This window comes from Homo sapiens, chromosome 2, assembly GCF_000001405.40.
Source record: "Homo sapiens chromosome 2, GRCh38.p14 Primary Assembly".
Classification (NCBI taxonomy): domain Eukaryota; kingdom Metazoa; phylum Chordata; class Mammalia; order Primates; family Hominidae; genus Homo; species Homo sapiens.
The window spans coordinates 36,942,233-36,968,874 of record NC_000002.12 but is presented as its reverse complement, the minus strand read 5'-3'; the positions used below and the strand labels follow the sequence as shown (position 1 = coordinate 36,968,874).

Here is a 26,642-nt window from a genome sequence, read left to right as displayed (position 1 = left end):
AGGAAAGAATGAAGCAACAAAAACAGAGATTTGTTGAAAATGAAAGTAGGCTCCACAGTGCAGGGGCAGGCCCGAGCATAGGGGATCAAGAGTCCCGTTACAGAATTTTCTGGGGTTTGAATACCCTCTAGAGGTTTCCACTGGTTACTTGGTGTGCGCCCTATGTAAATGAAGAGGATGAAGTAAAGTTACAACGTCATTTAGTTGGTGTGCGCCCTATGTAAGTGGAGAGGACATTTCCTGTTATAGCTGAAGTATTTCCATTTGATTCAGTTCTAGGTAGTCAGCCTGAATCTACTTTACGTTCCCTGCCTCCAGACCCTATTCTCCTGCCTCCTGCCCACAACTCCCAGGCTCCAGTGATCTACCCGCCTCGGCCTCCCAAAGTGCTGGGATTACAGGCGTGAGCCATGGCGCCTGGCCAAAATGTAAATGAGTCCTCGTAAAGCAAAAAAAGTATTGTGAGTAATAAAGTTGAACTACGAATTAAAATAGTTTTTGTATATGTGTGGTAGTCCAGATTATCTATACATTTAATTACATTTTGTGTCTGCTATGAATTGACTTAAAGGAATTGTCGGATATGTCGTCTCACTCAAGGCCTCATTGTTGACAAGTCTCAATTTTTTTGGAATTTAGTTCCTTGAGCTGTAAATGAGAAGACTGGGCTGTATCTCAAAGGACACTGACAGCCAAAATAAGTTATGGCACAGGGAATTTGGCCAGGCCTGGATCAATCTTTGATGATAATAAAGAATGAATTCATAAAGCAGAAACATTAATTAAGCGAGAGAAGAGAGTTCTCCATCTTTATTTGCAACCAGAGCAGACACAATGTGTTTCCTGTCCTTTCTGCAAGTAGCCATGGGAAAGGGGGGGAGGGGAGAGAGGACAGGGACAGGATGTCTTTCCCTGACATGTCACTCAGCAGCCTAGATCTTTACATTTTTTCATGGCCATCAAGTCTGATAACCCACAAGTACGTCCTACAAAACGTAAGAATTTCAGATAACTTGTTAGGGTGACAAAATAAGTGCTTAATTTCATTTGCATTTGTTAAATTGTTTTCAGGGGCCTTCCTTTTTGCCACTGTTGTAGTGTGAATTTATAGTGACATATTGTCAGACTTCGGAGAAGGCAAATATTTACAGAGAGTAACTTGAAAGGACTTTGGTGTACCTTTGGTAGGCGGATGCTGTTGCCAGTTGGCAGGTGAATCGTGAAAGAAACTGGGAACAGGACAAGTGAAAACGGAGAGGGGCCAGGATATCTAAGACCGCGCTAGGGAGCAGAAAGGGAACTTGCTTTTTCAAGGTGGTGTAGCTTTTAAATTAAGCCTTTGTGATATTTGATTATACGCCAATCTTTGATGACAGAAACGATGTCATTTATCTTAATATTCCCAGCGCAAGAGAAAACCGATAATCAAAATATTTGTTCAATTAAGTAGAGTAAAAATCAGCGGGAATAAGATAGGAAAAATGAGACCGAAATAACAGAACATCTATTATTGGATGCTAAAACTTTTACAGGATTTACTGCAGGAGGACTGCAAAGGGAAAGAAACTTCAACGGAGCAGTTTTTCAGATGGGCTGTCAACAAACCACAATTTGGAAGCAGCAGCAGAAAGCTGCGGCGTTGTCTTAGAAAGGTGATCGGCGTTCCTTAGAAATGAAAACTGGTCAGGTAACAGGTTTGAGCCCCTCGAGTCAAAAGAGAAAGGCAAGAGCGACAGCGACCCGCAGATTGGCAGAATGGAGGAGCGTCTAGGGTGAGAGAAACTCCGAACACGAAGCCGAAGCGAGAGCACGCAGGGCAGCTGGCGGGAGAACCCCGGTCCCGCGGCCGCACCGGGTAGCTCGCTTTGAGCCTGTTCCTTCACAGAACGGCCAGGAAGCCTTAAAAGATGTGCAGCTCGGGCAGGTATCTTGGCGTGACAACTTCCGTGTGTGTGTGTGTGTGTGTGTGTGTGTGTTTTTGAATGCAACAGGGTGCGCCGCCCGCGAACTTCCGCGTGCGAGGAAGACTGGAGACCCGCCCGCCCGCGCCCAGCCGGCCCCAGAGGAAACCCGCTCTCCCCGCCCAGCCGGCCCCCTACGCGGCGAGCCGGGGCGGGGCGGGCCCGAGGCCACGCCCAAGCTGAGGCACAGCCCTACAGGCCGCCCGGGCCGCGCTAGCCCGCGCCCCGCCCCGCGACTACATTTCCCGGCAAGCCCCGGGCCGCCAGCGCGCCGCAGTTGACCCATTTCCCGGCCCGTCACGGGCTCGGCCGGCCCCCGCGCCCAGGAGGCTGCTCCCTGCTGACTGGGGTGTGGGCGGGAGCGGCGGAGGGAGGAGGAGGCGCTGCTTGCCGCCGCTGTTGCCTCCGCTGCTGGGCGCCGGGGCAGCTCCCCGGGTATCTGCGGCCGCCATGGACGAGCAGGCGGGTCCCGGCGTCTTCTTCAGCAACAACCACCCGGGCGCCGGCGGTGCCAAGGGGCTCGGGCCTCTGGCGGAGGCTGCCGCGGCCGGCGACGGGGCGGCTGCGGCGGGGGCGGCCCGAGCCCAGTACAGTCTCCCGGGGATCCTGCACTTCCTGCAGCACGAGTGGGCCCGCTTCGAGGTGGAGAGAGCCCAGTGGGAGGTGGAGCGGGCGGAGCTGCAGGTAAAGACCCTCCCGGCCTGGCCGTCTTCATCCCGCCTCTTTGCTCCCTTCCGCCCCGCCCCGGACCCTTCTCCCCCTCCCCCAGCCTTCTCGCGTCCCCTCCCCCTTTGCTGCCGCCCATCCCACCCGGAGCCCCGTCCCCTTCTTCTCTTCGCCTTTTGCCTTTCGCTGACCCCACCTCGACCCTGTTCTCACTCCCGCTCCTGGTGCGTTGTTTACCCTCCCCACGCCTGTTCGTCCGCCCCATCCCACTCTTAACTCCCAGACTCATTTCAACTCTCTGGCCATCCTGCATCTCAGGGCTGCCCTCTCGGTTTACTAATTGGGCTGGCAGTAGTTTTGAGAGACGCGGAGCAAATCGTCCGCTGCCCTGGTGTGCCCCTTCCTAGGTCTAGAGACAGTCTCCGCAGAACGTGCCGGCTTTGGCCCCTCTCTTCAAGGAAGGTGATCAAGAAGACAACAGAAGTTGTGTCAGGCCTTGAGTCGAGGCGAGAAGTTGACGTTGGGCAAAAGTGTTATTCATATATCAGATCCCTTTTTTTATATATGTAAATGTCTGTTCTCCACTTTCTTCCGACCCCCCGGCCCCCTCCCACGTTTCTTTTAGGTATTTCCAATTAATGCATTTTGAATGAAGGACCTAGATGATCGCAGTCAGAGAGAATGGTTAAGAGGTGGTTCCTGTTCTCAGAATCTGAAACTTCCCAAGGGTTAATTTTATGTTCAGTGTTTTGGGAGATTTTCTTGTGCTTTAAAAGGAACTAAAGGGACTTTGAAGTTAGTTACATTGCCTTGCATAATCTGCAAGATAAAGTATATCCAGGGAGGAGATAACTGTGGGCTCTGAAAAGAATGAAAGTGAGGCTGATACTTTACAAGCCATTCAGAATTGGTGAATAGGTTTTCAGTGGTTGTTCTTAAAACTTCCAGGGCATACACACCAATTTCAAAAGGAACTTAAAGAACTATGAATAGTTGTGCCTTTCTGTTTTACGGGCTAAGCCTGTATACTTATGAAATTTGAGTATAGTTTTAGTTGGCAAAACACTTGAGTTTAAAATGCTACCCAGTGTGTCACTTTTTTTGGTAACATGTATTTGGCGCTTAAGAAAAAAAAGAAGAGGAGAAATCTGTTAAATAGAATCATGTGCTGGAACAGGCTCTGGTGTAGTGGAAGTGGCTGTGGAAAGAGCGAACACACAAGGCTGTAGTAGACAAGGTTATAGTAAGGGCTGTGTTTGTTGCTAGCTCTGTGACCTTGAGGAAATCCTTTAACCTCTCTGGGTTTCAGTTTTATCATGTATTTTATTCAGCACCTGTGTATTGAGTGCCAGCTGTGTGTCTAGGCCCTGTGTTGAAAGAAAACCGACCAAGCTTCTGCCCTCATGGAGTTTATGTTTTAGTGGAGAGGCAAACAGTCCAGCAAATGCGCCTATAGAATATAATGGCTTATAGTGGCAACTGCTGTGAGGAAGAAATAAGTCAGAGTTCAGGAATAGCGTGTGATAGGGGCAGCTATTTTAGATGGGGTAGTCAGGGTAGGCCTCTGAGAGATGACAAATGAGCAGCTGAATGAAGTTAGGGAGTGACCAGTAGTTTCTATGATTTCCTTGTAAGTCTGTAGTTACATGTTTATATTATTTGGCAACTTTTTCATTCCTATTGTTATATTGCTGTAGTATTTAGTCGATCTAGTCTATCTGATATTTGCAAGTCTTCTTTGACCTTGTTTATATAGTCTCCAACAAATTTGAATACTTACAGATTGATCTTTATTAGCAGCGCATTCTATAAAAGGTGTGGATTTCAGGATTCAAGGAAATGTTAAAGGCAAAGTTTAACTTTAATGTTGTGCAGTTGTGGGGAATGATTTTTGTATTAGTTACTTAAAATTTAATTTCTTTTCCAGTTTTGGGAATATAGATAACTCACACTAATTTGGTTAAAAAAAAAAAAACAAAAACAAAACACACACACACACCAGAAAACAATGCTTACCTTTCTACCTGTAGAAGTTGGGGAATTCCAACCCATCCTTCCCCCCGCCCCGCCCCGTTCACTCCCTCTCCTCGTTTAAACTTTTCAATTTACTGGTAACTGTAGTTGATCTTCAGTTTTTATGCACACATCTCCAAACACCCCTTCCTGGGTTGTTTGTGGCAAATGTTTATTAACTTCAGGTAGCTTTCCCATGGGTGCTTATCATATTAAAGAGACTCCTTTTTTTTTTTCCTTTTATTGGAGAGAGGGTCTCGCTCTGTTGCCCAGGCCGGTGTGCAGTGGTGCAGTCTTAGCTCACTGCAACCTCCGCCTCCCAGGTTTAAGCAATCCTTCTGCCTCAGCCTCCCAAGTTTAAGCAATCCTTCTGCCTCAGCCTCCCAAGTAGCTGGGATTACAGTCATGCACCACCATGCCTGGCTTATTTTTGTATTTTTGGTAGAGACGGGGTTTCACAATGTTGGCCAGGTTGGTCTTGAACTACTGACCTCAGTGATCTGCCTGCCTCAGCCTCCCAAAGTGCTGGTATTACAGGCGTGAGCCACTGTGCCCGGCCAAGGACACTACTTTTTTGACAGCATTTTCTGTTTTGTGTTCCAATTAAAGTTTCCACAGAGAAACTTTAAAAATGTGTCATTTTCCTAACAGGATGAATATGATATATTTTGGGGGGAAGAGTTTGCAGTAATCTCTGGTCTTTGTCCCCCCTTATTAGTGTAATTGGAAAAAAAATTATTACCATCGTTACATTTGAATCTTCTTTATTTTTCTTTTGCTACTGGAATTTTCTTAGAAACACAATAGGAAGTAAAATAGTTGAATGCGTTGTGATGAAATACGGCTCAGTTGGTGTCCTCCTTTTAATTTTTAAATCTCTTCCTAAGCCATTAACACCAGAGTCAACACAAATACCTTTAAGATGAAGTCAAATTTGCCTCTTCAAGAACCTGTCAGTCCTGCTCTTTCAGGTTGCCAGGGAAGACTTGTGAAAGGCAATCCAAGCTCTCATCTGCCTGGCCTGCCTTTACTGCTTCCTCCCTCCTTCAGATCTTGGGAGTAAGGAAAGGGCCACGTTATAGCAAAAACCTATTTATTTGTCACTTATTTCACTCTTGCTCATCTTATTTGATAAATTCTCTTTTTATTTTTGGTAATGCTCCCCTCCTCACATCCAGTTGAGATTAGGCAGTAGTTCATGGGGGGAAAAAAAGAATGATTAAGATTATTAGTGAGCTTTACATTTGTGAAAGGAATTGGAGAAGGAATACTAATAATATTTGAGAAAAATTTCTGTATGTGAGGCATTGTGCTAGATGACCTCAAAGAAACATGCAGTCTAGTTATTAGTACGATATAACTTGTAGAAGAATCAGAGTGTTTATCATTTGGGGAGAAGGCTAATTTCTTTAGAATAGTGAAGGAGAGGCCGGGCGCGGTGGCTCACACCTGTAATCCCCAGCACTTTGGGAGGCCAAGGCAGGCGGATCGTGAGGTCAAGATATCGAGACCGTCCTGGCCAACATGGTGAAACCTTGTCTCTGCTAAAAATACAAAAATTAGCTGAGCATGGTGGTGTGTGCTGGAGGCTGAGGCAGGAGAATCGCTTGAACCTGGGAGGCGGAGGTTGCAGTGAGCTGAGATCGTGCCACTGCACTCCAGCCTGGCGACAGAATGAGACTCCATCTTAAGAAAAAAAAAAAGAATAGTGAAGGAGAGAAGAGCCAGCAGTGAATGGGGAGAATAGCAGGAGTAAAGAACTTTATGAGTTCATGAGAACCTAAGGCTCAGTATTTGAAAATTACTGACTTATGAGAAAGCAGGCATGTAAATAAAAAATAAAAAATGTTGGCCCTAGATTTTGATATGTGTGTGGTGTGTGGTGTAGGAGAGGCCCTGATATTTACCTGTAAGTGTTAGAGTTGTATGAAAAAGGTGGCAAGATTGAGTAGCTTAGGGCATGTGGTGTGGAGGCTGTATGCTAGAGTTTTGGCATTAATAACTTGTATTTTCTGGGTTTTGGCATTAATAATTTGTATTTTCACTCCCCAAATATTTTTCAAGCATCTACTTCATGCCAGACCTTGTTCTAGATACCGGAGATACAACAGCAAAAATACAGATCTTGCCCTTATGAAGCTTAAATTGTTGAGGCAGGCAGACAGTGATAAATAAATACATAGAATGTTGGGAAAGAAAATAAGAGGATTTGAGAGGGTGGAATGGGGAAGAAAGGATTCACTGATAAGATGCCATTCGAGCTAAGACCTGAAAAGGTGATCTCTAAGGTGAGGAAAGAGCTTTCTACACAGAAGGAACAGCTGGGGGAAGGGAGCACGCTTGGAATATTTAAGGAATATCAAGGAGGGAAAAGTGGCTAGAGTAGAGGAAGAGAATGGAAGAAGTCATGTCAAACAGGTACTAATGGAAGAAGTCATGTCAGACAGGGTCTTGCCCATTGTAAGGACTTTGGCCTTATACCTCAGCAAGCTGAGCAGCCGTCGGAATGTTTTAAGCAAAAGAGTGACACCATCTTTAAAAGGGACCCCTTGTAAGGATTCAGAACAGACTTGGAGGGAAAACAAGTAGAAGCAGCAGGGGGACTAGTTAGGAGGCTACTTTAATAAATCCAGGCAGAAGATGAACTAAGGTGGTAGTGATAAGATATGTGAATATGTATTTGATACGTATTCAAAATACAGGATTCTGAATACATTTTTAAAGGTAGAGCCAACAAGATGTGCTAAAGGATAGAATGTGGGGTTTGAGAAAAAGGGGAGTCAAAGATGACTTAACAGTTTTTAGAGGGCCAGGTGCAGTGGCTCAAAACCTGTAATCCTGTAATCCCAGTACTTTTGGGATTGAGGCTGAGGCAGGAGGATCACTTGAGTCTAGGAGTTCAAGACTAGCCTGGGCAACATGGCAAAACCCCATCTCCAGAAAAAAAAATTTTTTTAATTAGCCGGGTTAGTCCCAGCTACTTGGGAGGCTGAGGTGGGAGGATTGCTTGGGCCTGGGAGGTTGAAGCTGCAGTGAGTCATGATCACTCCACTGCACTCCAGCCTGGGCGACAGAAGGAGACCCTGTCTCAGAAAAAAAAAAAAAAAAAAAAAAAAAAAGTGCAGCCTGGGCAACATGGTGAAGCCCCATCTCTACAAAAAATTCACAAAGTTAGCTGGGTGCGTTGGCATGCGTCTGTGGTCCCAGCTACTCGTGAGGCTGAGATGGGAGGATTGCTTGAGCCCTGGAGATCAAGGCTGCACTGCGTTATGATCATGCCCCTGCACTCTAGCCTGGGTGCCAGAGTGAGGCCCTGTCTCAGAACAAATCAATCAAACAAACAAACAAACAAAAATACATGGATATAGAGAGAATGAGCAGCCTCATAGGACAGCTGAGAAGATTTACTGAGCTTTTTAATGGAAAACATAAATACTTAAAATGAGTTTGTCTTTATTATTGTGACTATTATTTATAATTATCACAAAAGGCAATATGGCAGAGACCTGGGTTTAAAATTCTTGCTTTAAAACTTACTATTGTATTTTACGCCTAAAATACATATTTGCCGTAATTCTGATCTCTCAGAGCCTTAGTTTTCTCATGTGTAAGTTAAGGATAATAAATTACCTTGTGAGAATTAAATTAAGATAATTTAAAGTACTTAGCAGAGGCATGGTACATAAGATAAAGTAAGTGCTTAATAAATGGTTGCAGATGCATGATGCTAAACTTTTGCTCTCGGTTATCTCCTCATCCCCAGAGAAAAGCATAATCTTCAGTCATGAACTTTTCTGAGGCTGGAGCATACAAGTGCCATCCTGAGGCCATGCAGTGTAATATTCTGGGTCTGACCCAGGCACTAAGAGATATTTAATGGGAGTGAATGGTTGCCTTCAGTGTCAGCCTCAGAACATTGAGGATATACTTCAAGTGTATTTGCTTTCCTTTTAATAACCCAGTAGGTATCTGTTACCTTGAAATTCATATAAACTTTTCTGAATGTGTTTATCTTAACTTTGCATTACATCATGGGTAACAAATTGTGTAAATTTACTAACCACATTATGAAATGAATCCTACATTTTATTTGGCTCTTTAAGCCACTTCCTTTACATGTGGAGCAGGTGAACTCCATTGTCATATGGTATAATTTTGTCAGCAGGTTCATTTTTCATTCTACTCATATTCTTGATAATTTCATAATCTTTATATTTTAGAAAGGTTATAGAGGCTTTAATCTTTTAAAACGTATCCTATTATTTGTCTCTTCAGTTCAGTGTTTCTCAACCTTAGCTATAATCTTAGAATAATCAGAGGGAATGAATACTAATTCCCTGGACTCTACCCCAGATCAATTAAATCAGAATCTTAGGAATGAGGACCCCTAGCATTAGTATTTTTTGAGCTCCCCAGTATACAGCAAGGATTGAGAACCACTGCTTTAGTTGTTTTTTTCTGTTTTTACATTATCTATAAAAGTTTGGTGATTTCAACACTTTTATTAGTATTCCCTATATGGATGGCTTTTTATAGAATTTGGGATATAATTTCTTTTTCCATTGTTCTTTCTGATGATAGCATTTTATTTTTAGGCAGTAGAATATTATAATTTGAATCACCTCCTTCTGACTGAGATGTAATGACAGAGTAATCTTTGAGCTGGAATGAACTTTGGAAATAATCAGCTCAGTTAGGTAAAGTGAGGTTCAGAGGGAGGCTGAATGACCAAGAATGAAATAGGTTTTGTACAAGCTGTCACTTACATCTCCAGATATCTTTACAGTTTTATTTTTTCATATTTTTTGTCTAGGGGCCAGGCTAATCATCTGTATCATTCCAATTTGAGTATATGTACTGCTACAGCCAGCACTCTTTACAGTTTTCTTTAAAGCCCTTTCAGATACACTGTACCATTTAAACTGTACAACCTTCTGAGGTAAGCAGAGCCACACTGATGCTTATTTATTTATTTTTTTTAGATAACAGGCATAAAGATTTTACTGTGTTTTACTGCTTTCTAGCTTATTTTATTGGTTGCATTTAAGATTTTCTCTGTCTTTGGTGTTATGTAGTTTCATTATGATGTGTCACAGTATAGATTTCTTTTTCTTTTTTTGAGATGGAGTCTAGCTGTGTCGCCCAGGCTGGAGTGCAGTGGCACAATCTCGGCTCACTGCAACCTCCGCCTCCTGGGTTCAAGCAATTCTCCTGCCTCAGCCTCCCGAGTAGCTGGGACTACAGACGCCCGCCACCATGCCCTGCTAATTTTTTGTATTTTTGGTAGAGATGGGGTTTCACTGTGTCAGCTAGGATGGTCTCTATCTGACCTCGTGATCCGCCCGCCTCAGCCTCCCAAGTGTTGGGATTAGAGGCGTGAGCTACCACACCCAGCCTATATTTCTTTTTATTTTGTTTGGGACTTCATTAGACTCCTTGAATTTGTGGATTGGCTTCTCATTAGTTCTGCAGATTTCTCAGTTGCTATCTTGTTAGGTTTGTCCTCGATTGCATTTTCCTTTCTTCTCCTTTTGGGTTTTTGATTACATGATCTTAGGGCTTCTCCATTATCTGCTCTGTATTTTCCATCTTTTTATCTCTCCATGCTTTATTCTCGATAATTTATTCTGACTTATTTTCCAGTCTGTGAATGACATATCTTCCACTCCATTAATTTTCTCTTCAGTTGAGTCTGATTTGTTAAAACCATCCACTGAATTTTTAGTTTTGGTTATTGTTGAAGTTCATTTTGGTTTCTTTTCAAATCTGCTCGGTCATTTCTTAAAAAAATATTGTTCTGTTCTCTGCAGGTATTTTCAGTGTCATCTTTAATTCTTTAAACATAGTAAGTAGTTATTTTTTAGTTAGTGTCTTTGCGTTTCCTTTATCTGAGGTCTTAGAGGTGCCTTTGTGTGGTCTGTTGTCTCTGCTGGTTCTTGTTCATGACGACGTGTTCCCTTGTATCCTTAGTTTACCTTTGTGTGCCGCCTGCTGTCCTTGAAAAACTGTGAGACTAGACAGGCACGGTGGCTCATGCTTGTAATACCAGCACTTTGGGAGGCTGAGGCGGGCAGATCACCTGAGGTCCGGAGTTCAAGACCAGCTTGGCCAACATGGTGAAACCCCGTCTCTACTAAAAATATAAAAATTAGCCAGGTGTGTTGGCACATGCTTGTAATCCCAGTTTCTCAGGAGGCTGAGGCAGGAGAATCACTTGAACCCAGGAGGCGGAGCTTGCAGTGAGCCAAGATCGCGCCACTGTACTCCAGCCTGGGCAACAGAGTGAGACTGTCTCAAAAAAAAAAAAAAAAAAAAAATTAGCTGGGCGTCGTGATGGGCGCCTGTAATCCCAGCTACTCGGGGGGCTGAGGCAGGAGAATCACCTGAACCTGGGAGGCAGAGGTTGCAGTGAGCCGAGATTGCACCACTGCAATCCAGCCTGGGCAACAGAGACTCCACCTCAAAAAAAAAAAAAAAAAAAAAAAAAAAAGACAAAAAGAAGAACTATGAGACTAATCTGAGCTCTCAAATAAAGGTATCTTCTTCAGAAAGGTTTTTTTTTGTTTGTTTTTTGTTTTTTACATTTCCTTCTGGTAGATGTCTAGAGTTATTACCAGTCTGGGGCCACTTTATTTTTTATTTTTATTTTTTGAGATGGTCTTACTGTCACCCAGGCTGGAGTGCAGTGGTGTGATCTTGGCTTACTGCAACCTCTGCCTTCCAGGTTCCAGCGATTCTTGTGCCTCAGCCTCCGGAGTGGCTGGGACTATAGGTGTGCACCACCACGCCTGGCTAATTTTTGTATTTTTAGTAGAGACGAGGTTTTGCCATGTTGGCCAGGCTTGTCTTGAACCCCTGGCCTCAAGTGATCTGCCCGCCTCCGCCTCCCAAAGTGCTGGAATTACAGACGTGAGCCACTGCCAGGCCTGGAATCACTTTAAAGTAAATGCATTACTTAAGATGTTTGGGCCACCCAGCTGATGTGAATTTTGGTTGTGAATACATTTGAGGGCCAATATACTTCTGTTTTGTCTTTGCTTTGAAGACATAAGCCCTTTAGGGATCTAGCTAAATGTGAGGTATATCACCTATTAGACTGTCCACTCTGGAGGGGTAGGGTGTTTGATTTTTGCTCCTTGAGTCCTGCAAGGCTGTTTGTTGTGATTGGTCAATATCCTAAGGGCAAAAATGGCTTTTTGTTCCTTTACCTCACTGGGTTCCCATTTTCCCTTTTATTTTGGCCAGATAATTCCTTCCTATTTTTGTGTTGCTTTTAAGAAAATTGTGAAAATATTTTGTCCAGAATTTTTGGCTGCGTTCAGTAGAAGAATTGTTGTGGGGCACCATAACTGGAAACTGAATTCTCTTATTTTACTTTCAAAATCTGACAAATAAGAATGGCCCTACTAATTTTTGGGGGAGAAATAATGTTGACAGACAGCACTTCTTTATCAAGAGATGTGCCTATTTAGTCCTGAACTTTATTTCAAATCTACTTTTCTTTGAATGGTAAAGGGAGACCTACAGTTTTTCTCCAAAATCTTGATAACTGAAGCAGAGTTTAAAACAAACAAAACCCTTTGCTATGCAGTCAATGAAAGGTGTTTGAAAGTTCAGATAATCTGGATAGAGTCCCCTTTGCCCACCTGCTATCTCCTTGATGTCAGCTATACTTTTGATTTGCTAATGTGTGTAGCATCCAGGTTTCAATTCTGGGCCATTAGAAATAAAATTGTCCTTGGATCTTTGGCGTTTCTTGCCTCGGTGGCCAATCTGACAAAACAATCTGTTGACCATCATAATTGGACAGTTGAAAGTATGGGCCTCAGAGTCAGACATCTCTATCACTTTCATTTTACAATTTTTCTAGGCCTCATTTTTGTAAATGTGGGTGATAATATCCCTACTAAGCAGGATCGCTGTAAGGTTTAAAAAAGATAAATATGCAAAATATGTGATATATGATGGGTGTCCAGTAAGTGGTTTGCTTTTTTGTTGGTTGAGATTTCTATGGACAGAAGGCATTAGATTTATTATTTATATAAGTCCTATTGTAGAAGCCAAGAACCAGTTTCAGTGATCCGTTTATCATAGTAGCTACTTACATTCTCTTTGTCCTGTAAGTACAGGTTGAGCATCCCTAATCCAAAAACCCCAAATTCAAAATGCTTCAAAATCTAAATCTTTTTGAGTGCTGACATGATGTCACAAGTGGAAAAATCCATACCTGACCTCGTGTGGCAGGTTGCAGTGAAAAAGCAGGTGCTTTTTCAACAGAGTTTATTTAGTATCCCATAGGGAAAAGTAAAATTACGTTTAAACTGTGTGTATAGGGTATATATGAAACATAAATGAATTTTGTGTTTAGACTTGGGTCTCATCCCCAAGATATCTCATTAGGTATATGCAAATATTCCAAAATCTGAAATCTAAAACACTTCTGGTCCCGAGCATTTCATATAAGCGGTACTCAATCTGTAGTGGTTTGAGGACAGTGAGTTGTGTGTTGGAGGTAGGGGACAGGCTAGAGATGGCAGAAGTAAGTGGTGATAGCTTGTAGATATTAAGGACTGGACGTAGTAATCGAGGCAGATTTGGAGTTCAGAAAGGACGCTTGAGGCAAGAGAGAAATTGAGGAAGGGGTTAGAAGGGGAGAAGAGACAGAAGAAGGGAGGAGAGGGGTGGAAAGAGCAGAGGCAGAGGAGAAACTGCACACATTAACCTGTTCTTAACTCTACAAAGATGTCTTATCTGTATTTTTCATTTCGGCACTTATAATTCTAGAATTCTAGGGCTGACAGGGATACACACGCATGCATATGCACATATGCACACATGTGCACTGCCCTCCTCCCTCTCGATTTTCTTTCTTCATTAGACTAAGAATATTTTACCTCAGAGGGACCTTAGAATTTAAGTAATCTCATCCCCCGTTTCATCAATTAGGGCTAGAGAAAGGAAGTGACTTTTCTCAGGTCACTGTGTGAATTGGTTTAGTCTAGTTTAGAACCCATGAGTCCTAGTACCCAGGCCAGGGCATTGCTCTCTATACCATATCCTCTCCTTTTTTTGGTCCCTCACTCTGTGTAGCTGCTTCTGACCTGAAGGAGCCAAGTGAATTTTAATATTTAGATGATTAAGTATGGTTTGAATAGCTGTCATAATTTAAATTCTTATCACTGATTATTTGAAGTTTTTCTTCGAGTAGAATAATTTAGTGAAACGGTATAGTAAGAGGTTCAGGAAAGTCTTTAACAATTTGTGTTTCTCAGAAGTGTTTAACAGTGTAGTTCTTGGACTGGGCATGGTGGCTTATGCCTTTAATCCTAGCACTTTGGGAGGCTGAGGCTGGCGGACTGCCTGAAGTCAGGAGTTTGAGACCAGCCCAGCTAACATGGTGAAACCCCGTTTCTACTAAAAATACAAAAAATTAGCTGGGCGTTGTGGCACATGCCTGCAATCCCAGTTATTTGGGAGGCTGAGGCAGGGAGAATCGCTTGAACCCAGGAGGCAGAGGTTGCAGTGAGCCGAGATCACGCCATTTCACTCCACTCCAGCTTGGGCAACAAGAGTGAAACTCCATCTAAAAAAAAAAAAAAGTGGTTCTCTCATTTCCTTAAATACTTTTATTTTTTTGTGGGGAATACTGAAATAAAATCCTTATTTCATCTTAAAAAAATCTGCAAATTTGGAGCTCTTTTTTTTTTTTTTTTTCCCCTGTTTGAGACAGGGCTTTACTCTGTCGCCCAGGCTGGAGTACAATGGTGTAATCTCAACTCACTGCAACCTCTGCCTACTGGGTTCAAACAATTCTCCTGCCTCAGCCTCCCAAGTAGTTGGGATTACAGGCACCCATCACCACACCTAATTAATTTTTTGTATTTTTAGTAGAGACAGGGTTTTGCCATATTGGCCAGGCTGGTCTTGAACTCCTGGCCTCAAGTGATCCATCTGCCTCAGCCTCCCACAGTGCTGGGATTATAGGTGTGAGCCACCACGCCTGGCCAAATTTGGAGCTTTTTTAGCTTGCTCTGAGGGTAGCTTAACTAAGTTCTGTATATATATTTTAATATAGTTTGTTTATTGATCACATATCAAATATTGTGATCTTTGATATAGCAAAGATCAAGCACTTTGATTTGATTTTTAGGTTATTTTTAATTTTTATGTTATTTGGTTAACCTAAAAATTTGATTTTTAGTTTATTTTTAATTTTTATTTTAAAGAGACTGTGTCTCTCTTCTATTCTGCCCAGGCTGGAGTGCAGTGACTATTCATAGGCATGATCATAGTTCACTGCAGCCTCACACTCCTGGGCTCAGTTGATCCTCCTGCATCAGCCTCCAGAGTAGCTGGGATTACAGTCTTGACCCACTACATCTGATTATTAGTCTATTTTTAGGCTGTTTTACATATGCTATGTTAGAACAGAATAATATGTTAACTGTGTATTTGCTCTTATGCAGAAAGTTATTTGACAAAATAAGATCACTTTCTTGGTAGACTTAATGCTGTTTTTTCTTAAAGTACCTTGGCCTGGCACGGTGGCTCACGCCTGTAATCCCAGCACTTTGGGAGGCCGAGGTGGTTGGATCATGAGGTCAGGAGATCGAGACCATCCTGGCTAACATGGTGAAACCCTGTCTCTACTAAAAGTACAAAAAATTAGCCTGGTGTGGTGGCGGGTGCCTGTAGTCCCAGCTACTTGGGAGGCTGAGGCAGGAGAATGGTGTGAACCTGGGAGGCGGAGCTTGCAGTGAGCTGAGATTGTGCCACTGCACTCCAGCCTGGGTGACAGAGCAAGACTGCATTTCCAAAAAAAAAAAAAAAAAGGACCTTATCTGTATAAGATAATGGAATATTAGAATATTAGAAAACATTGATATGGAAGAAGGAAAATTTGTTACAGAATTGACTGGAAGCAGTATGGCAGAAGACAAAAGTAGTAGGTATTTTGTTTTGTAGATGAGATGGAGAGAAAAATAAGGGAATAGGAACCCTGGAATTAAGGTGAGCTGGGGAAGTATTGAATAAGGTTGGGTGAAATAGGTATTTTGGGTGTGGCAAATATGCATCACTCACCAGAAAGATTCAAGGAAAGGGCCGGGGGAATGTTTCATTACTGAACACACAGGTTTCATTAGCATTCATTTGAATGTGAGAGAAATCAGATCCAATACTGGTATATCTAGTTATGAGAAATAAACACCATGTCAAATTCCACAACGGTGATGCCAGTTTCACCTGATGGAAAATTACAGCCCATTCTGGGATTTGTTCCTTTTTTGTTTATACTTCCTAAATGAGAAGGTTAACCATTGAGCAAAAGAGCTTAAATTATAGGCACAACCAAAACCTGCTCCCTGAGGAATGTGGATTGGTGTAAAGCTGAAAGGAGGGAACAGGGAGGAGCCTGTGATCTGGGTCAGCGCACTTGCTGAACTTGAAAAGTAGAGTCAGCCAGGGGAGAAGGTATCCATGGCCCTAGTAATTCAACCCAGTACTTTATCTTTTGTTTCTTCTTTCTGTTCTTTATCTGCCAACATTAATAATAGTTTCATTTATTGAGCATTTTCTGTGTGCCAGGTACAATGCTAAGTGCTTTATATCTACAATCTATTTTAATCCTTGTAAAACTGTATGTGGTAGATATTAATCATTCCCAAATGCATAGGTGAGAAATTTGGGAAGAAAGGTTAAATAATTTGCTGTAGAAAAAGGCTGAGTGATGGGTCTGGGCATGGTAAGTAGAAGCAAATATTTTGGCTTTTTTTTTTTTTTTTTTCTCTCGTGCTTCAGGGTCACTGTGCAGGGCTGAAATGTTTTCTTCTCCCTTGTTTGCCTGGTGAATTTCTAATCATCTTTCAAGATTCCATTAATTCTGGGAAACCTGTCTGACTTCCAGGCACAAGGAAGCTTCGTGCTTCCCTAACAGCTTGTATTACAAAGCAGAAGCATTGTTATCCAGCACCATCCAGACTGGTGGTTGATCAGTTAATCCGAAAAGATGTTAAAATGGTATCTTAAAAAATTTGTTTCAGGTTAATAGTATATAGATGTATATAGTCCTTTCCCAATGTAAGACAGGCCTACCCACCCTTCACATTTTTGTTTCTTAGAATGCTAATTCGAGTTTTGTATTGTCATTCTTGAATAAGCCACAATTGTGTGTGTGTGTGCGTGCGTGTGTATTTTCGGGACGAAATTGTTCCACCTCACATCATCAGGCGTTAGATTCTTGGGAGTGCCGCACAACCTAGATCCTTCGCATGGGCTGTTCACAGTAGGATCCGTGCTCCTATGAGAATCAGCGTTGCCTCTGATCTGACAGGAAGCGGAGCTCAGCGGGTAATGCTGGCTTGCCTGCTGCTCACCTCCTGCTATGCCACCCAGTTCCTAACAGGCCATGGACCCATATCGGTCAGTGGCCCAGGGGTTGAGAACCCGTCCTATCTCATACTTGGTATATATTTGTTTCCTCAGTAGACTCTGAGTCACCTAAGGGCATTTTTATTTCTCTAAGGTCAGTAGAGTGACTGGCACATAGTAGCTGCCTAACAAGTGGTTCTTAAATGAATGAATCATATATTAGGTTACACTGTTACTCAATATGTATTAACATGTGTCTATATATGTATATCTTGTCTGTCAGCTAAATTGTGTCCTTAAGGGCAGGACCTGTGTTTCAGACATCTTTGATATTTACCATGTTTGTCATAAATTTAGTGAATGTACAGTATATTTTGGTTTTAGGCGAGCAGTGTATCTGTCCCTTTTGCTGCTTGCTAGTTCTGCCTTACAACTTCCACTGGAAAGAGCTTTTTAGTGCAGCAAATAGTGTCTGCATTTTATTGTATAAAGCATTGCCTGGGCCATACCAAATCATTTTGACAGAGGTCATTTCAGGGATGCCACAGGCTTCATAATTGCTACTTGATGCTAGTTGTAGCAAATTGCACTTGGGTTTTGGTAGTTGTGAGTATAGTGTTGTCTCCTTCCACCCCGCCTTGTGTGTTAATCACTGACTGCCAGGAAATCTCTTTGACATAACATCCTAAAAAGTTTTTGTTATCAGTAGGGCCCTGTAACATTTTTTTCCTTTTCTAAAGCCTATGCCTTCAAGTTTTTTACAAGTGTCTTATTCCTTCTAAATTGAGAACTAATTGAATATTTTTTCTTGTAGATAAATCTTATTTTAAATATCTAGTTATCATTACTTTGCATTCTCCTTTTCTGATTTTATGTTACATTACCAATATCTTATGATATTTAAACTTTTTTGAACTCTGCTTTTTAAAATAAATAATATAAATGCCTCAATTATCTGGAACTTACACTGAAACACTGTAATCTTGTCTCTGAGCCTGCTTCCCCTCAAAAAATTTAGATTTAGCTTTTCAGATGCTTATAGCTAGCCAAGTAAGTGAGAATAAACACAAAAAGGCTAAAATATGCAAGTTCCGGAGTTGTCAAAGCTTCATGTAAAATGTGTCATTGTGGAATTTAAAAAATTCTACGCTTTTTCATCAAGGTTTTTGGTTGGGGCATTAGACACTTCCTGAAATCTGGCATTCTCCTAGGCACTGGGGATACCATGGAGAAGAGGCAGATATGGTCTTGGCTCACATGGGGCATATAATCAAGCAGTAATTCTTAACCTTGGACAGACTTGAGTCCATTATGCCAATGGTCATCTCCACTTTGCCATGCCATTTTAGTTTTCCCTAAGTAAAAACTACGCCTGTAATCCTAGCACTTTGGGAGGCCAAGGCGGGTGGATCACCTGAGGTCAGGAGTTCGAGACCAGCCTGGCCAACATGGTGAAACCTCATCTCTACTAAAAATACAAACATTAGCTGGGCGTGATGGCGCGTGCCTGTAATCCCAGCTACTCAGGAGGCTGAGGCAGGAGAATCACTTGAACTTGAGAGACGGAGGTTGCGGTGAGCCGAGATCAAGCCACTGCACTCCAGTCTGGGTGATAGAGTGAGACTCAGTCTCAAAAAAAAAAAAAAAAAAAACAAAACCAAACCAACCAACCAGTAACAACAAAAGAAACCCCTTTCTCAGCTCCCTTATCTATTAGTATTGCCATCCTGTCCCTCATTCTCCTTCATTTTACTCTGAATTTCTCTGAACGACCACATTTACTACCTTCAGTTTTTTTTACTAGTCTCATCTCTCTCTCTGTTCCTTTGTTGTCTTTCTCTTTTTCTGCTTTTGGTTACTCATTTCTCAGTCTCTTGTGATCTTGCTTCTGATCTCTATTCAGATAATTGATTACCAAATTATATATTTTTTTCAGCAGTTACTCTGACTGAAGTCCTCTCACTCTACCTAATTCCTTTTCTTTGGATGATTTACAAAATTATCTCTAACTAGTCTTGATACTTTTTTGCAGTTAAAATTGTACATGTCCAGTTTTTGCTAATGTCTTCACCTGGATGACCTACTATAACTTGAAACTCGATCATCCTTTCTAAAATCCTTTTCCCAAACCCAGTTGACCCTTTTCCTCAGATCTAGCCCCCAGTTTACCCTTTCTAGAAACCTAGCCTCAGCTTTCACTCAACCTTTCACTTTCTTATAGTCACTCTTCTAGCCATGCATTAGGTTTGTAAAATACGTAGTTTAAAATCCATTTTTAATCATTTAATTACTAGTACTACTTCTTCCCTGGTTACCTCATCACCTCATATCTGGGTGACTAAAGTAGAAGTCTTCCCTAATATTTCACTTCTGGTTTCTCCCTTGGCCAAAGTAGTTTACATAGTATTGCCTCCCAGGCTTCTAAAAATTGATTTGTTTAACACATTCTTTTTATTTTTTATTTTTGCCTGTTATAGGTTTTAAATCTCTGCACGATTAGACTGTTTATATTTCCTACATATTAGAGCACAGTCATGAATTACTTAACAACAGGGATATGTTCTGAGAAATACCTAACGAGACAATTTCATTGTTGTGTGAACATGTAGAGTGTACTTACACAACCCTAGATGGTATAGCCTGCTACATACCTAGGCTATATGGCATAGCCTATTGCTCCTAGGCTGCAAACCTGTATAGCATGTTACTATATGGAATACTGTAGGCAGATGTAACACAAGACGAATATTTGTGTATCTAAACATATCCAAGCCATAAACGTAGAGAAGGTACAGCCAAATTATGGTATAACCTTATGGTTATAGTTATGGGACCACCATCATGTATATATGGTTAATCATTGACTGAAGTGTCATTGTTCAACACATGCCTGTACTCTTTCTAAACCAAAATAGTGTCATCTTGCTTTGTACATAAATCATACCTGCTTTTTTTGTCATTGCTCAAAAGGTTTATTCTGGAATGTCCTTCGACCACCTTGTAGATTTATATATTCTTTATTCAAATTTAGCTCAAGTCCCATTTCCAACACTAAGATATTTGGATACCCTCAGCTTTCATTGATGTTTCTTTTTTAGTACTTGTTTTGTCATTTGGCAATTAGGGTGTGCTACCTTGTACTGTTTTTTACTTGCTTCTTATAAATCTGTTCAGTCAATTTAACAAATATTTATTGAGCGTCTACTACATGCAAGTAACTGTTCTAGGAATTAGGGATATAGCAGTCAACAGCACAGACAATCTCTCATCTCTTTGGCAACTTCCTCTGTACCTTTAAAGACAAATATCTCCAACACCTATCACGGTATATGTTGTTAATGATGTTAAAATTGTGTCCAAATTAACAGAAGGCCAAATTTAACATTGAAGTCCAAATTTCTTGGCTAATAATGCAAGTAAAAAAAATAGATGATACCTTTTGGCTGATCTGAATACACTGATAACTGGCTGGACGCGGTGGATCATGCCTGTAATCCCAGCACTTTGAGAGGCCGAGGCGGGCGGATCACCTGAGGTCAGGAGTTGGAGACCAGCCTGGCCAACATGGTGAAACCCGTCTCTACTAAAGTACAAAAATTAGCTAGGTGTGGTGGCACATGCCTGTAATCCCAGCTACTCAGGTGGCTGAGGCAGGAGAATCACTTGAACCTGGGAGGCGGAGGTTGCAGTGAGCCCAGATCACATCACTTTACTCCAGCCTGGGCGACAGAGTGAGACTCTGTCACAAAAAAAAAAAAAAAAAAAAAAAAAAAAAAAAAAAAAAGAGTGCACTGATAATTATAGAGGAGAGGATGATCATTCTATAGGATGAGGGGAAATGTTTTGGAAGATGGTTATTTTGTTTTTGATTTAATAATTAATTTAAAAAAAATTAGCCAAAGTAGTACTGCCTTGGAAGATGTTACTTTAACTGCATACCCTTAGTGTCCCATGAAAATGAGACAAATAAGCAGAATGCAAATAAATAAATAGAAATATTTGAAAAAAATACTTACTGTCTTGGGATCAGTACTTACCTCAGTTTTCCACATGTCATCTTTAGTTCCATATCATCACAGAATGTTAAACTTTTTAATTTGTAGTTGAGGGAACTGAGGTTGCTCAGAAAAGTAACTTTAATAAGGTTGCATATATTTGTGAGAGAACCAGGAGTAGGAATTTCCCAACTCCCACTTGGTGCTTTCTCTGTCAAAGAACATCGAATTTTTGTAGAACACAGTTCTACATTGAATTTTGTAAAACACAGTTCAGTGATTTTATATATATATATATATAATATATATGTAAATAATATATATGTTCCCGAGTTATCAAGAAAAATTGAGTTATATTCACTGGCTTTTTTTGTAATAAAGGTAGGAATTTGTAGGTTAAGATTTAATATACTTAGTGGTTAAATGAATTAATTTATCTTGAATATTTTTACATATATCTAGCATTTTATAGTATTTACTTTGTGATGTCTTTTGTTTTCAGACTGTTTGAATAAAAATTTTGACATTTCGATTTAATTTTGTGTATTTTTAGCAGGAAGTGAATATTGTGATAGTTGAAACTCAGGTAGTTATTAGTAAAAGTTTGTTTTACTAAAACTTGTCCTTCCTAGTTAAGGAATTTATTTATATTGACTTTTAAAAAAATGTCTTTCTGGCCAGGTGTGGTGGCTCATGCCTGTAATCCCAGAACTTTGGGAGGCCGAGGCAGGCAGATCATGAATTCAGGAGATGGAGACCATCCTGGCTAACATGGTAAAACCCTGTCTCTACTAAAAATACAAAAAAATTAGCCAGGCCTGGTGGCACGTGCCTGTAGTCCCTGCTACTCAGGAGGCTCAGGAAGGAGAATCACTTGAACCTGGGAGGTGGAGGTTGCAGTGAGCCGAAATCTCACCACTGCACTCCAGCCTAGGTGACAGAGCTAGAATCCGTCTCAAAAAAAAAAAGAAATTTTTGTAAGTTTGGTATAATGTGAAATAAGGAAAGATTTGGAAAATGAATCATTGACTAGAAACTATCAACTTTTTTACAAAAAAGAAACAGTTTTAGTTCTTATTTGGAATTGAGTTAAATTTAGATTTTTAGAAACTGTCTAAATTTTACGTTAGAAGAAATGATTTATTTAAAATAAAAATACATGTATATACAAAAACACAGGATATACAGAGACATATGAAGTAGAAAGTACCCTAGCCTCTCTCCATTCCTTTTTACAAACCTACTGTTTAGAGAGAAATTCTATTAACAATTTAGTGTATACCACATTTTCTGTATACACACACACACGTGGGATTTTTATTGAGCTTGCGCTTACCTTGGTAATAATTGGGATGTTTACATTTCAAGTCTTCTCAAACAAGATTTTTCTTAATTCCTTAAGTAGAGATATCCTATACTTAAATACCTAGGAATAAAGTAAATAATTTGTAGGTTTTATTACTAGTGTGAGTGGGATCTTTTTTCCATTTTATCTCTTAACTGGTTATTTCCAACACATGGGAAAGCTCTGCTGCTGTGTGCAAAGTCATTTGGTCACCTTGCAGAAATACTTTATTATTTCTCTCTTTTATTTTTCTTTCTCATATTTGGATGTTTTAGGTAGAAAAAAATCAACTGGAAATATTTCTGGTATTTATACCTCTCTTTTTCTAGTATTTTCCAGTATTTATACTGGAAAAAATCAACTGGAAATATTTAGGTAGAAAAAAATCAACTGGAAATATTTCCGGTATTTATACCTCTCTTTTTCTAGTATTTTCCAGTATTTATACCTCTCTTTTTCTAGTATTTTCCAGTATTTATACCTGTCTTTTTCTAGTATTGGCTATTAACTCTAGAGCTTTGTATCATGATGGTCATGCTACAGGGTTTTTCCTTAAAAAAAAAGTTTATTTTAAAGTTACATGAAAACTGTATAACTGTTAAGTGTAGTATTTATCATTGCTTTCTAAGAATTACTATGTGGCATGTTAAAAATGTTTCTAGTTTTCTAAGAGATGTTAAAACTAGTAGATGTTGAATTTCGTGAATTGATTTTTTGCGTCTAAGATAATATGTTGTTTTTTCTCATTTAACTAACTAATGAAATCAAGTTGGTCCTGTAGTATTTCTCTTTTGATACACTGCTGTATTTGTTTTGTTAATATTTTATTTAGGATTTTTACTTCTGCATTCTTTTTTTTTTCTGAGACAGTCTTGCACTGTCGCCCGGGCTGGAGTGCAGTGTTGCGATCTTGGCTCACTGCAACTCTGCCTCTTGGTTCAAGCGATTCTCTTGCCTCAGCCTCCTGAGTAGCTGGGATTACAGATGCATGCCACCACACCCAGCTAATTTTTTGTATTTTTAGTTGAGACGGAGTTTCACTACGTTAGCCAGGCTGGTCTCAAACTCCTGACCTCATGATCCGCCTGCCGCGGCCTCCCAAAGTGCTGGGATTACAGGCGCGAGCCACCATGCCTGACCTCTGCATTCTTAAATATAAAGTCATTATGTATTTTTGATAATGTTATTTTGAACTCAGGTACAGAGAATTAAGTTCTCCTAGTTAGACATCGCTTGGTCTGCACATGGTCCCTCTGTTGTTTAATTTACTTACCCATTTTTATCTCTATTCCTCTCATATTTATTTCCCTTCTTTTAAAAAAGTATCTTTATAAAATATCGTTGTTTTTCCTACACGTTTTTTATTTATAAAAATCCAATTGTCCCATTTTTCTCTTTTTTTAAAAAGATCCAGCTGTGATGTTTTATGTATATTAAATCCATTACTTTTAACTGTTTGATCATTTCTTTGACATATTACTAAATATTGGAATTGCTGGTTTGTTGGCTATATATACACTTGATTTGACTAAGTACTGCACATTGCTTTCCAGAATGACTGCTCTGGTCTACGTTCCCATTTGCAGTATGTGATCCCATATTGCTGCTAACACTTGGCATTATCTAGCATTCTACTTCTTGCTAGTCTGATAAATTTAAAGTTATATCTCCTACTTATATTAATTTGCATTTCTCTGATTACGACTGAATTTAAGCATCTCTTCCATAGTATGTTAGCCTTTTGGGTTTCCTCCTCTCTGAACTGCTTGCTTCTATCCTTTGTATTCCATCTAAGGAGCATGGAATGTCTTTCTGTCCATTTATTGAAATCTTCTGCTATGTATATTTACAAATAGGAACAGTTTTCTTTTTTTGTTCTATAATTTATTTTTGGCAATTTTTCAGGTTAGTGTTACAGTTTTAACAGAAAACAATGATAATTTTATTAAAGATAAATCTATACTTGTAAGTTAAATGAAGTCATTGGGATTTGTGTTTCTACTAGGAACATTACTTAAAATAACAGACATGGGCTTATGTAATGGATTTAATTTTTAAAGGATATATTTTCTGTGTCTTATTCTCTTACACATTATTTTGTTTGTGTGCGCAAAAACTTCAATTGTTTATATGAGATTACCAAATATCCTGAAAACTCTTGGAACTGCAGCCATATATTTCCTTCTACCTATGAGGAGTGCCCACCTTGATGGCAAAATCAACAGTGTATGAACTTAGATATCAGTCTTTCCTTCTTTATAACGTTTTTTCGTTATATCTGCATTGCTTTTGTATATTAAGAGAAAAACAACTTAATAAAAATTTAACTCTAACATCTGTATTTTCAACTGTCTGTTAGTGTGTATATATATGTTTTAAGTATGAGTTTTTTTGTTTGTTTTTTTGAGATAGCGTTTCACTCTTGTTGCCCAGGTTGGAGTGCAATGGCGAGATCTTGGCTCACTGAAACCTCTGCCTCCTGAGTTCAAGCAATTCTCCTGCCCCAGCCTCCCAAGTAGCTGGGATTACAGGTGCCCGCCACCACGTCCAGCTAATTTTGTTTGTATTTTTAATGGAGACGGGGTTTCACCATGTTGGCCAGGCTGGTCTCGAACTCCTGACCTCAGGTGATCCACCCACCTCTGCCTCTTAAAGTGCTAGGATTATAGGTGTGAGCCACTGTGCTCGGCCAAGTTTGTTTTAAACTGTTTTGGTTTTTTTTGAGACAGAGTCTCGTTCTGTCGTCCATGCTGGAGTGCAGTGTCAGGATCTCGGCTCACTGCAACCTCTGCCTCCCAGGTTCAAGTGATTCTCCTGCCTCAGCCTCCCCAGTAGCTGGGACTACAGGAGTGTGCCACCACGCCCAGCTAATTTTTTCTATTTTTAGTAGAGATGGGGTTTCACTGTGTTAGCCGGGATGGTCTTGATCTCCTGACCTCGTGATTCTCCCGCCTCAGCCTCCCGAAGTGCTGGGATTACAAGTGTGAGCCACTGTGCCTGGCCTATTTTAACTGTTTTATGTCTTCTGTTTTTGTGTGACAGTGAAATGATTTAATAAATATAATACTTAGAACAATGTAACATAGTAAGAGCTTCGTAAAAGTTTTATTAATCTTATATATTTATATATATATATATAGTTCTAGTCCCTGTACTTATTTTTAATAATTGTATAACCAAAATAGATGTTTTTGCTTATCTTTCTGTCTCTTCATACAAGAAAGTTGAGAAGGGAATTCAGCAGTTGTTCACACTGATTACCTCTGGGGAGTGGGATGAGGATAAAGAGGTGTATCTCTCAGTTTTTTGCTTTATATGTCTACGTAAAGTTTGTTTTTTTCCTTCTATGTTACATTTTTACTAACAAGAATTTAAAAAATCAGTCAAAATATAGTTTACTGAACTCTCTTTTTGAGCATTTGGGTGGTTTTTTGGTAGGGCAGTAATATATGGCAGAAAAGTATTATTAATAATCATCAAAGAAGCATACATTAAAGCAATATATATTTCTATTAATTAAAAAAATAAATGGCCGGGCATGGTGGCTGACACCTGTAATCCCAGCACTTTGGGAGGCCGAGGCGGGCAAATCCCTTGAGGTCAGGAGTTCGACACCAGCCTGGCCAACATGGTGAAACTCTGTCTTTACCAAAAATTCAAAAATTAGCTGGGTGTGGTGTTGCGTGCCTGTAATCCCAGCTACTCAGAAGGCTGAGTCATCAGAATTGCTTGAATCCAGGAGAAGGAGGTTGCAGTGAGCTGAGATCACGCCACTGCACTCCAGCCTGGGCAACAGAGCAAGACTCCGTCTCAAAAAAAAAGAAAAATTGATGCTAACACCCAGTACTGGGAGAGATAGATATGTTAGAACTTTACCCTCATACCTTGTTCGTGGTATTGTCAATTGGTCAGTATCTATTAAGAGATATGAAATAGTTATATTTGACCTGTTGATCCCGCTTATAGTAGTCTCTCCATGGGAAATCTTTTTAAAAAGCATTAAAATTCTATATGCATCAAGAGCACCGCTGGCAAATGATTTTGTAATAGGGAAAAATTACAAACAAACTAAATACCCAATTATAGTGGAATGAATATCAGGAATGCTTTTGGCTGCTGGTAAACCCTTTTAACAGTGACTTAACAAGTAGAGGTGATATTTTTCTCATTTTTACATGAGAAAAATATGGGTAGTCAAGGACTGGTGCAGTGGCTTAGCAATGACATAAAAAAACTAGGTTTTTTCTTTCTCATCTGCCATCCTTGATTGCCATTGTCCTTTTTGATACATTA

At 40.4% G+C, this 26,642-nt stretch overlaps 1 protein-coding gene across 3 annotated transcripts in view, besides 2 other annotated features; it reads left to right on the top strand.

Annotated features, from left to right (window-relative positions):
* Positions 1,849-2,658: a silencer, noted in NCBI's record as "silent region_11352". NCBI's record gives its function as "represses an Ori minimal core promoter by ATAC-STARR-seq in GM12878 lymphoblastoid cells {active_cell/tissue: GM12878}" and the evidence as "EXISTENCE:reporter gene assay evidence [ECO:0000049][PMID:35858748]".
* The window catches only part of STRN (striatin), a 128,839-nt gene continuing 104,535 nt past the window's right edge, over positions 2,339-26,642 (top strand). For all 3 annotated transcript variants that reach the window (XM_005264519.6, NM_003162.4, XM_011533073.3), the window contains exon 1: positions 2,339-2,645. In XM_005264519.6, coding sequence (XP_005264576.1) covers positions 2,412-2,645 — 234 coding nt within the window. In that variant the 5' untranslated portion in view covers positions 2,339-2,411. The remainder of the gene's footprint in view (positions 2,646-26,642) is intronic.
* Positions 6,184-6,379: a silencer, noted in NCBI's record as "fragment chr2:37189639-37189834 (GRCh37/hg19 assembly coordinates)". NCBI's record gives its function as "represses an EF-1alpha promoter that drives an FKBP-Casp9 reporter gene in an ReSE screen in K562 erythroleukemia cells {active_cell/tissue: K562}" and the evidence as "EXISTENCE:reporter gene assay evidence [ECO:0000049][PMID:32094911]".